At 33.2% G+C, this 12319-nt stretch overlaps 1 long non-coding RNA gene across 1 annotated transcript in view; it reads right to left on the bottom strand.

Annotated features, from left to right (window-relative positions):
• Positions 1-502: 502 nt before the first annotated feature.
• LOC101927439 (uncharacterized) overlaps positions 503-12319 on the bottom strand; it is a 58245-nt gene continuing 46428 nt past the window's right edge. Inside the window, exon 3 of the long non-coding RNA XR_941002.2 lies at positions 503-1525. This is a non-coding gene — a long non-coding RNA (uncharacterized LOC101927439). The remainder of the gene's footprint in view (positions 1526-12319) is intronic.

The following is a 12319-nucleotide window of genomic DNA, read 5'->3' as shown; positions in this document are numbered from 1 at the left end:
GTTAAAATAAGTCTCGCAAATGCTTTCTGATTTTCTGTTCTATACACACATTCTCCAAAAATATATCCTCATCTAGTAAGAGTCTTATTAAAATTAAATAAGAATAAACTCATAAATGGCTGATATTGTTTGGCTGTGTCCCAACCCAAAACTCAACTTGAATTGTATCCCCCAGAATTCCCACGTGTTGTGGGCAGGACCCAGGGGGAGGTAATTGAATCATGAGGGTTGGTCTTTCCCCATGTTATTCTCGTGAAAATGAATAAGTCTCACAAGATCTGATGGGCTAATTGGGGCTTTCTGCTTTTTCTTCCTCATTTTTCTCTTGCTGCCACCATGAAAGAAGTGCCTTTCACCTCCTGCCATGATTCTGAGGGCTCTCTAGCCATGTGGAACTGTAAGTCCAATTAAACCTCTTTTCCCCACTCCCCCACCCCAGTCTCAGGTAAGTCTCTATCAGCAGCGAAAACAGACTAATACAATGACTTAGCAGAGTCCCAGGCACCTTGTAAAAATGTTTAATAATTTCAACACTATCATGATGGCCATCATTCCAAACATTGTATCTGACATAACTTTTACTGTAATCAACAAAGTGCTCCTTGCTTCAGAATGGGTTTCTATCTCTGAAATGTATTCTCAATATTACCTACTCATGCATTCCACTTTCCATGTTTGCTAAGAAACTTAATTGTTAAAAAAATTGAAACTATTCAAGTTGTAAATCACCTTCAATGTTCTTATTAAGCATTCTATACTAACATTATTTGAGAAATTTGATTTCATGAGAGAATCTTTACATATTTGATTAAGGCAATACCTATATTTTGACATTATTATAACATATTCATAATACATATCATGGTTTAACTAACCATTAACCACTTTTTTGAGCTCTGATTGAGCTTAATTTGAAATCAGTTATATAGTATTATATATAAATAAAAACATCTGATTTTATTGTGAATTATAATAAAATATGCCCGTATTTTTAGTTAATAACTCTTACCTGTAGAAATTACCCATTATCTCTGAGCTTTTACTATGATTATGGTTCATGCTTTCTTATTTATTGATAAATAAATATATAATTGTAAATCTGTATATTTTTGAATTTTCTGAAAGCCAATATTTTATTTTTTAAAATTATTTTGTTTTTAGGTTTATATCCTAAGAATTCTTCAATTATAAGCAATAGAAATATTTGCTTACATAATTAAACATGAATCAATGATTTAGTAATATGACATTGAGTAGCAAAAAAAAAAAAAAAAATCAAATGATTACCCAGTATACCTGGTTTCAAGAATGGTCTCAGGTCCATTGCTCTCAGTTCAAACCAGTGTAGAATGTCTCTTTGGTGTTGTGCCATCAGATAACCCAATGTCAGAAGCCTCCTGTCCTTGAAGCCCCAACTCATGGTTAAGTTTTCAGAAAATGGGAATATGATAGTATGGATTCCATATTACTTCTTGTGATCAGTGAAGCTTGGTCCTTTTATTGGCAATTTCATCAGAGCTACATACTGAATAAAACACAAATCACCAAGTGAAAGGATGTTAGATAGCTAAAATTAACCAATAACTATATCCTTCCCTTTGTTTGCTCAGTGTATGCACCCATTTATTCCTGTGAATACAATCAAACTACTTAAGAAAATACAACTGTATGATTGGAAACAATAATCCTTCCCAGTGGAGACTGGAAATTTCTAGATATTAAGTCCAAAGGAGATACTATTAGACATCTGGGCACTAGAATATCTGAATAATTTCATTATGTTACTTAGTTCTGTCCCAATAACTTTTATATGTTCTACAAATTCTTAAGCAAGTGCAAAGTTTAACTAAAAACTTTCATATACAGGTATAAATTTCACATTACATTAGTTAGAGCAAAGAAGAGAAAATAAATAATTAGATAAACAGACATATGGACAAGATGATGGAAATTTATAGAGTATATACAGCACTTATTTTTAACTGATCAAGATGTTGTAGCCACTACTTTGGTTTTTCATCAGACATCTTCTCATTGCCTTATTATCACTTGCATTTCAGATAGAAAGCATTTATTTATTTATTTATTTTTGCCTAGACTACTGACCCAACTATTAATAATTTATGGGTTTGTGTTTCTTGTGTTTTTCAAAAATAAGATTGAAGTAATTTTGGAATTTTTTACCACTAAAAATTTAAACAAAACCTATTCTGGGATTTCCACAATTCGATTCATGATTCTCTATGTCCTTATTCTACTACAACATACATATTTCTTTTTCATGGAGTTTACCAACTTAGCTAAATATAAAACCCCCTTTTGTATCTTTAAACATAGCTAGATAAAGAGTCCCATATGGCCACTTCAGTCTCTCACATTTTTCTCTGAGTTTTCAGTAATGCCAAGCTAACATTTTGAAAGTGGTTTATTAGCAACAGTTGGAATGTACATCACTCACACCTCTACCACTTTGGCCCTGAACCCAGTCATCCAGGTTTTTGAAAATCATAGATTGCTCTTAAATAGCATGTGTTACAAGTTATGTCAAGCTTCCTTTGGGATCATAACATTCAAGAGAGACTTGGAACATCATTGACATGTTTATATCCATTTGCATTGTCACACTATATGTTTTAGTCTGTTTGGGCTGCTATTAAAAAATACTAGAAACTGAGTGACTTATAAACAAAATAAATTTATTTCTTACAGTTCTACAGACTGAGAAATTCAGCAACAATTTTAAGTGACATATTCAGACCATAGCAACATAATATATTTCTAAGAGTACTGAAACTTAATTTCTCAAAGGACCAAACTGTAATTAATCAAGAATGAAAGATTCTTAATTATGTAACTTGAAATGGGTTCTGTTGCTAGACTTAGAGGTCTTTTTGGGATCTTTATTAAAAAAAAAAGGCAGGTCTCCAAATTGAGGAAATTGTTGTAAGACCTGCTTCAAGGAGAAAAGAAGTAGAAAATATTACTGTTTCTTAGCAGCAGATTTTCAATGACCATTGAGATTATCCAAGAATCTAGCTACTATCATTTTATGTGTCTTAAGACTCAAATTTTTAAGATCCAAATTATTGTCTGCCCCTTTTTTTTTCTGGTAGTGAATGAAGGGTGCTATAATCAGTTTTTCTATTGAAATTGATTAACAAGGGGCAACATCGATAAAGAGGAGCTACCATAGGAAAGACAAAGCTGGTAGATATCAAGCATTATTTTTTAAAGAAATATCTAATAATTCCTTTATCTAACTCCTATGTGTAAAAACTAATGTATGTCATTAACTATGTGTCAAGCATTTCTTGAAGGACTTCATAATATTACTTCATTTGGTACGTAACAAAACAGTTAAAGAAACTATTTATCTGTTATGTTGAACAGTTCCTAGAGGCACAAAATTACTTTCCAAAAGTCACATCTCAAGATATAGCGGGACAGGGATATGCCAAGGCAGTCTGGCTTCATGCACACTTCATAGTTACTATGTAGTGTTGATGTCAAATTAGTAGAAAAAAAAATCACAGTGACTATTGTCTCTAATTTTTATTGATGTTGTAAATGGAACTGTGTTCCCTAACATTTATATGTTTAAATTGTAATCCCCAGTACTTCAGAATGTGACTTTATTGGGAGATAAGCCTTTACAAAGATAATTAATTAAAGTGTGATCATTGGGTTTGGCCTCAATCTGATTAGTGGCCTTGTAAGAACAGGAAATTTGGACACAGATATAAATTAATGGAAGACAGCATGAAGAGATATAGGGGGAAAATAGTCATCTTTGAGCCAAAAAGAGATGCCTAGAATAGATTATTTTCTCACAGCCCTTAGAAGAAACAAACTTATAGACTCTATCAAAACATCCCTAGAACTGATAAATTACTTCAGTAAAATCTCAGGTTACACAATGTACAAACATCAATAGCATTTCTATACATAAATAACATTATAGCTGGCAGCCAAATCAAGAACATAATTCTATTTACAATAGCAAAAAAAAAAATTGAAACACCTAGGGATACATCTGAGATGGTGAAAGATCTCTAAAGAAAGAAAAACACTGCTGAGATATATCAGACATGGCACAAATAAATAAAAAAAGTAATCCAGGCTCATGGATTGGATAAGTCAATATTCTTCAAATAACCATACTGCCCAAAGCAATTTACAGATTATATGGTATTCCTATGAAAATACCAGCATCTTTTTTTGCAAAAAATAGTAAAAAAGCTATTCTAAAAAGTATGGAATCAAAAATGAGACTTAATAGGCAAAACAATCCTAAATAAAATGAACAAAGCTGGATGCATCACGTTACCCAACATCAAACTATATTATAAGGCTACAGTAACCAAAACAGCATGATACTGGTACAAAAGTGGTCACAAAGACCAATGAAACCGAATAGAGAACCTGGAAATAAAGCTGTAAATTTACAACAACCTGATCTTTGACAAAGTTGACAAAAATGAGTAAAGGATAATTTTATTCAATAAAAGGTGCTGGGGTAACTTGCTAGTTATATACAAGAGAATGAAACTGGACCCCTATTTTTCACTATGTTCAAAAATTATCTCAAGATGGACTAAACATTTAAACATAAGACCTCAAACCATAAATATCCTAGAAGAAAATGTAGGAAATACTCTTCTTGATATTGGCTTTGGAAAATAATTTATTGCTGTGTCCCCCAATGCAATTGCAACAAAACCAAACATTGACAACTGGGACCTAATTCAACTAAAGAGCTTCTGCATGGCATATATATATGTGTGTGTGTATATATATATATATATATACACACATATATGTACACACACACATATATATACATATATATATATATATACATACACATACACATATATATATTCAACAGTGTAAACAGACAACTTACAGAATGGGAGAAAATATTCACAAACTATCCATCTGACAAAGGTCTAATATCCAGAATCTACAAGGGACTTAAATAAATCAATAAGCAAAAAACAAACAACCTAATTTTAAAATGAGCAAAAGACATGAACAGACACTTCTGACATACAAGTGGCCAACAAACATACAGAATAATACTCATCATCACTAATCATTAGAGAATGCAAATTAAACCACAGTGAGATCCCATCTTCTGGCATCAGAATGGCAATTATTAAAAAGTCAAAAATCGATACTGGAGAGGCTACAGAGAAAAGGGAATGCTTATATACCATTTGTGGGAACGCAAATTAGTTCAGCCACTGTGGAAAGCAGTTTGTAGATTTCTCTAAAAGTTAAAACGGAACTACAAAATGGAGAAAATAGAACTTAAAACAGTACTACCGTTCGACCCAGCAATCCCATTACTGGGTATACATGCAAGGGAAATTAGATCATTATACCAAAAAGGCATGTACACTCATATGTTCATTGCAGCGGTATTCATGACAGCAAAGGCATGGAATCAACCTAGGTGCCCATCAATGGAGGACTGGATAAAGAAAATGCAGTACATGTAAACCATGGAATACTACTCAGTCATAAAAAGAACAAAATCATGTCCTTTGCAGCTGGAGGCCATTATCCTAAGCAAATTATTCTAAGAGCAGAAAACAAAATACCACATGTTCTCATAAGTGGGAGCTAAGCATTTAGTACACATGGACATAACAGAAGCAATAGACACTGGGGACTACTAGAGGAGGGAAGAAGGGAGGGGAACATAGGCTGACAAACTGCTTATTGGGCACTATGCTCACTACCTGGGTGACAGGATCATCTATAACCCAGTGTTTAATGTTATACAATGTATCCATGTAACAAACCTGCACATGTGCCCTCTGAATCCAAAATAAAATTTGGAAACAAAGGGAAAAATCAACACTGTCGATATTCTTATTTTGGACTTTTAGCCCCCAAATTTCAGACAATAAGTTTCCCTCTGAGCCACTTAATTTGTGGTAGTTTGTTCAAGCAGCACTAGTTAACTAACACAGTGATATTTATCATGAAGTGGTAGAGGACTTGGCAGAATTGTGTTCTGTTGAGTGGAAAGTGGAACTTGTAAGTGATGAACCTGATATTTAGAGAAGATATTTTATAAGCAAAGTATTTGGGTAGCACTTTTTTTGCTAACTTTAATAAAATGTGAGAGGAGGGAGATAAACTGAAAAAGATTGTGCTCAGCAGAAAGAAAACAGCACTTGATTTGAAAGATTCTCAACCTATCCAGATAGTTTACTCCTGAAAGAGGACTAAGTGTGTTGCTCGACAGGGGATTATATACTTGAATTATAGATCCGATCAACCATTTTAGCAGAAAGCTTGCCAACTTGGACTGCAGGGGATAGAGGCTGAACTAAATGAAATAAATCTGTTAGACTTTTATAATTCTACAGCCAAGAACTGGGCCCATAGAGCTTTTTGGCTGCAAATATGTGCTATCTTTCACGAAAAGGAAAGAACAACCATAAGGGTAGGGCTACCTCCTTGGTCCAGATGGTGAATCCACCAACTCAGTTCCAGAAGGAAGGGCTATGGCCAAGGACTCAGTGTGGGGCTACCATGCCTGTACACCTGTGCCGTGTGTGTGTGTGTGTCCAACACTCAGATGAACTCAGAGGATCTAAAATCCAATCTAAAAGTTTTTTTTTCGAAGTACTTAAAATGTAATAAAATTTACCCTAATAGGTTCTGGACTTCCTTGGGACCTGAGACTTTTTTTCTACTTCTGATTTCTTCCTTTTGGAATAGGAATGTATATTCTATACTTGTTCCACCATTGAATTTTGGTTTTACAAGTTCAGAGATTGAGTATTTGGATGAATTTGGATGAATACTCCTAGGATGAATCATGTGCCAAGTCTAATTTATAAAATATTTGGGTAATTTACATGGTGGGATTTGAGCCTTTTTTTGGGTTGATGATATTTAGATTTTGGACTTACAGTTGATGCTGGCATGATAGACTTTTACTGATATTGGCATAGGTTAATATATTTTGCACAAAGAGAATGACATGGATTTGGTGGGGGACAGAAGGAAGACTCTTACAGGACAAATTGTGTCTTCTCAAAATCTATATGATGAGGTCCTAACTTCAGTACCTCCAAATGTGAACTTATTTAAATGCAGTATTATTACTTATGTAATTAATTAAGTTGGAATCACACTGGAATAGAAAGGGTTCGTAATTCTATATAACTGGTGTCCTTATAAAAAGGAAAATTTGAACATAGATATGCACACAAGTAGAATGCTATACAAGGATGAAGGTAGAGATGGAAATAATGCTTCTCCAAGCCATGGAATAACAGGGATTGCCATAAAACTACTATTAGCTAGGCTAGAAGCATGAAACAGATTATCTTTCGCACCCCTCAAAAGGAACCAAATCAGCTGACACCACAATATTGATGTTCTATTCTCAAGATATGCAAGGCAATACATTTCTGTTATTTAAGCAACACAGTTTGTTGTACTCTGTTATTGCATCCATAGCAAACTAATACAATTATAATGACTTTACTGTCATAATGTAATTTTAATAACAATTTAGAAAATTTTATCTTTGAGTATGATATTAGTTATGGGCTTAATTATGTTGAGGAATTTCCCTTCAATTCTTAGTTTTCTGAGTGTTTTTATTGGGAATGTGTTTTGAATTTTGTCAAATGCTCTTCTGGGTTAGCTGAGGTGATTCTGCATTTCTTTAAATTGTTCTATTAATGTAGAGCATTGCATGGCTGGATTTTCTTATGTTGAACCATCCTTGCATTCCTGAAATAAACTCCACCTGGTTATGATATAAAAGCCTTTTATATGTGCCTACATTCAGTTTGCTAGTATTTTGTTGAGGATTTTTGTACTACACTTATAAGGAATATTGATCTGTAATTTTCTTGTGATGTCTTTCCTCACAGAATGAGTTAGGAAGTGGTTCCTTCTCTCTTCAATTTTTTTTTTCTGAGGAATTTGAGAGATACTAGTGTTAAACTGTCTTTAAATATCTGGTAGAATTTGCCAATGAAGTCTCCTGGTTCTGGACTTTTATTTATTGAAAGGTTTTTGAATACTTATTTGATCTATCTAATTCTTGGGTCGGTTTAGGTAAATTGTGTATTTCAAGGAGTTTGTACATTCCTTTTGGTCATCTAATTTGTTAGTGTACAATTGTTCCTAGTACTCTGTTATAGTCTATTTTACTTCTTTATGGTCAGTAGTAATGGCCCCACTTTTTTATTTTTGCTTTTAATTATTCATGTCTTCTTTCTTTTTTCATCAATCTAGGCAAAGGTTTGTAAATTTTCTTAATCATTTCTAAAATCTGACTTTTGGTTTTATTGACTCTCTCCATTGTTTTTCTATACTTTGTTTCATTTATGTCTGTTTAATCTTTATTATTTATTTTCTTTTGCTAGATCTGGATTTAGCTTTCTCTCCTTTTCCTATTTTTTCAAAGTATAAAATTAGGATCCTTTTCCTTTTTAAGTGTAGGTGTTTCCCAATATATTTTTCTAAGCAATGCTTTTACCACAGCTTATAGCTTTTGGAATGTTGGGGTTTTGTCTTAATTTGTTTCTATGCATTTTCCATTCTCCCTTGTAATTTTTCTTTAACCTATTTTTGTTTAACAGTTTATAGCTTAATTGCCACATAGGTGTGAACTTTTTAGTTTTCCTTTCATTAATTATTTTCAAATTTACTCCATTTTAGTAGGAGAAGATATGTAATAAAATCTGTTTTTTTTAAATTTAATGAGACTTGTTTTTTGGTCACCATATAGACTATTTTAGAGAATATTGTACATGCATTAGAGAAATGTATATTCTTCTGTTGTTGGGTAGAGTGTTCTGTACATATGTCTATTCAATCTTGCTTGTTTATACTGTTGTTCAAATCATCTCTTTTCTTAGTGTTCTGTCTAGATATTCTAATCACCATTGAAAATAGTATATTGGTGTCTCCAATCATTATTTTAGAACTCATTGTTTTTTTCATTATCAAGGTTCACTTCATATATTTTTGTACTTCTTAATTTGAGGTAAAATGTTTATGATTGTTTTATCTTCTTGATGAGTTGATGTCATTATCAACATATGATGTATTTTGTCTTTTGTAACAGCTTTGACTTCTCTGATATTAGTAGAGTTACCCACCTGTCTTTTGGCTTCTATTTTCATGAAATATACTTTTCCCACTTTCATTTTTATCCTATTTGGGTCTTGGGATCTACAGTTAATTATTCATAGAGAACATAAAGTTGGATCATATTAGTTTTTTCCTTTCTGCAAATTTTGACTTTTTCATTAGAGATTTTAGTCCATTAACAATACAAGTAGAAACAAAAGACTTATTTCTGCTATTTTTCTTTTTTTCTATATATATTATGCTTCTTATTTTGTCATTTATTTCCTCCATTACTGCCTTCTTTGGTGTTTAATTTTTTTGTGTTTGTTTGTTTGCTGTTTGAGTGAACAATTTTGATTACCAACTTTATTTTTGTGTATGCATGTATGTGTATTATTTGTGTGTATATATATATATATATATATTACCTATAATATATACCTTTTAGATATCTCTCTATATATATATTTTAGATATCTATTTTATATATATAAATATATATATATGATACTTTAGATATTGTTTGTGGTTACCATAGGGATACACTTAACATTCCAAATTTATAACAGTGTTGTTTGATTTGATACCAATTTATTTTCAATGGAATAATTTAAACAGTCTGTGTTTTTACAGATCTGCCTATGTTGCTTTTGTCACAAATTATATCTTTATATATTGTGTGACACAAAACAGACTTATGAAAATATTTAATCACTTATTTTATATATAATGTAAGAAATAAAATGTCTAGTTACAATTTCTTTAAATAGTGGTGTTTATATTTTCCTATGTAGTTACTTTTACCAGAAATGTGTATTTCTTCATATGACTTTGAGTTACTATGTAATGTCCTTTCATTTCAATCTAAATGATCTTCCTTTAACATTTATTTTAGGGTAGATACAGTGGTAACAAACTCCTGTAGATTTTTTTTTTATTTTTCTAATCTGGAAAAGTCAATTTGTAAAGCACATTTTTGCCAGATACAGATTTCTTGTCTAGCATTATTTTTTCTTTCAACACTTTAAACATGTCATTCTATTGCCTTCTGGCTTTTATGTTTTTTATAAGAAATCAGTTGTTTCTAGCATCTTTTATATTTAATTAGACACTTATCTCTTACTTCTTTTAAGTTTCTCTTTTTGTCTCTTCTATTCAACAATTTGATTACAGTGTGTTTTAGTGCACATAGCTTTGCTTATCCTTCTTATATTTCATTGAGGTTCTTGGATGTGTATTTCATGTCTTTGGTCAAATTTAGAAAGTTGTTTCTCCAAATATTATTTCCTTCCATTTCTCCATTTTCTTCCCAGAAAATTCATGATTCGTAAGTTCATCAGTTTGATATTGTTTTAAAATATTTTCAGGCTATATTCTCATTTCTTTTTTCTTTTCTCCTGAAGCTGGTTAATTTCAATGGTCCTATCTTCAAGTTTTCCAGTTATGTATTTTGTCTACATAAATCTGCTATCAAACCTCTCTGGTGAGTTTTTTGTTTTTTTTTTTTTTTTTTTTTTTTTTTTTTGAGACAGGGTCTAATTGTCACTCAGGTTGAAGTGCAGTGGCATGATCACAGCTCACTGCAGCCTCGACTTCCTGGGCTCAGATGATTCTTCCACCTCAGCCTCCCAACTAGCTGAGTCTACAGACATGTGCCACCATGTCTGCAGCCTCCCAAGTAGCTGAGACTACAGACATGTGCCACCATGTCTGCTATTTTTTTTAATTTGTTTTGTAGAGATGGTGTTTTGCCATGTTGCCCAGGCTGGTCTCAAGCTCCTGGGCTCAAGTGATCCACCAGCCTCAGCCTCCCAAAATACTAGGCATGAGCCACCACACCTCGCTCTAGTAAATACTTCATTTCAGATACTATTCACTTCAGCTCTAGCATTTCTGTTTACTTCCTCTTATTAATTTCTATCTCTTTATTGATATGCTCTCTTATTTATACATTAATCTCTTGCTTTTCTTTCATTTTTATTCTATATTTTATTTTAGAATTTTGAGCATATAAAAGGCAGTTGATATAAACTCCATTTTTGGTGAAAACAATACCAGCCTTCCTCAGAAAGATTTCTATCAATTTATTTTATTCCTGCAAATGGGGCATGCTTTCTTGATTATTTATATGCTTTGTGATATTAACTTGAAAACTAGACATTTGATTATGATAATGTGGGAACTCTGGGGGTCAGATTTTCCATTTTTCCTTTTTGTTTTTATTTTTTAATTGAAGGTTGTATTGGTCCATTTGTGTAGTGACTTTTCCAAACTATTTTAACAAAGATTATATTTCTTGTTGACTGCATTGACTGAAGTGACCGTTCCATAGCTTACATTTAGCTTGTGTTTTGACAGAGATTTTCTGAAACACCAGAAGCTAAAGCAAATAAACCTCTCCCAGTCTTTGTAGATGGACTCTGTGCTAGAGTCCTTCTTCAACACTTAGCAAGGCTTTCACTGAGCCTAGGGAGCAGTCAGAGGTGAAAGCCTGAGGTCTTCTCAGGTCTTTTCTCTCTTGTCCTGGGAATGTGTGTGGATTTCTAAATTGCACCACATATGCAGGTGTTTTCAGTGGCCTAAATTCCCAAAGAATCTTTTCTCAGCTTTTCCTGTTAGGGCTTAGGTTGTCAACTGCATTCCTCAACTGCAATCTTTTGTTCCAGGCAAGGCTTTCTGCCTTTGTGAACTGGATGAGTTCCAAGTTAAGTAAAACAGAGATGAACACCTTTAGTCAATCCTTCCTGTAGCTCTTTGGAGGTTGGAAAATACATAAATCAGCCATCCCCAACCTTTTGGGCTCCAGGACCAGTTTTGTGGAAGATAAAACTGAGGGAGCAGGGTTCACGATGAAACTGTTCCACCTCAGATTACTGGGTATTATTAGATTCTCATAAGGAGCGTGAAAACTAGATCCATCACAGGCACAGTTCACAGTAAAGTTTGTGCTCCTATGAGAATCTAATGCCACAGCTGATCTGACAGGAGACAGGGCTCAGGTGGTAATGTTCCTTAGCCCACTGCTTACCTCCTCTTGTGCGGTCAGGTTCCTGCTAGGCCACAGATTGGTACCACAGACCAGTACTGGTCCACACCAGGGGTTTGTGACCCCTGACATAAATACTAATTTTTGAATGAGGTTTGCTCTGCTGCCTGCAGACCAGGGTTCCATACTAGTAACACAGGCTGCTGTCTTCAAGGGCTG

The sequence above is a fragment of the Homo sapiens genome, chromosome 3 (genome assembly GCF_000001405.40).
Source record: "Homo sapiens chromosome 3, GRCh38.p14 Primary Assembly".
Taxonomy (NCBI): Eukaryota; Metazoa; Chordata; class Mammalia; order Primates; family Hominidae; genus Homo; species Homo sapiens.
This window is presented reverse-complemented; position numbering and strand designations above follow the sequence as displayed.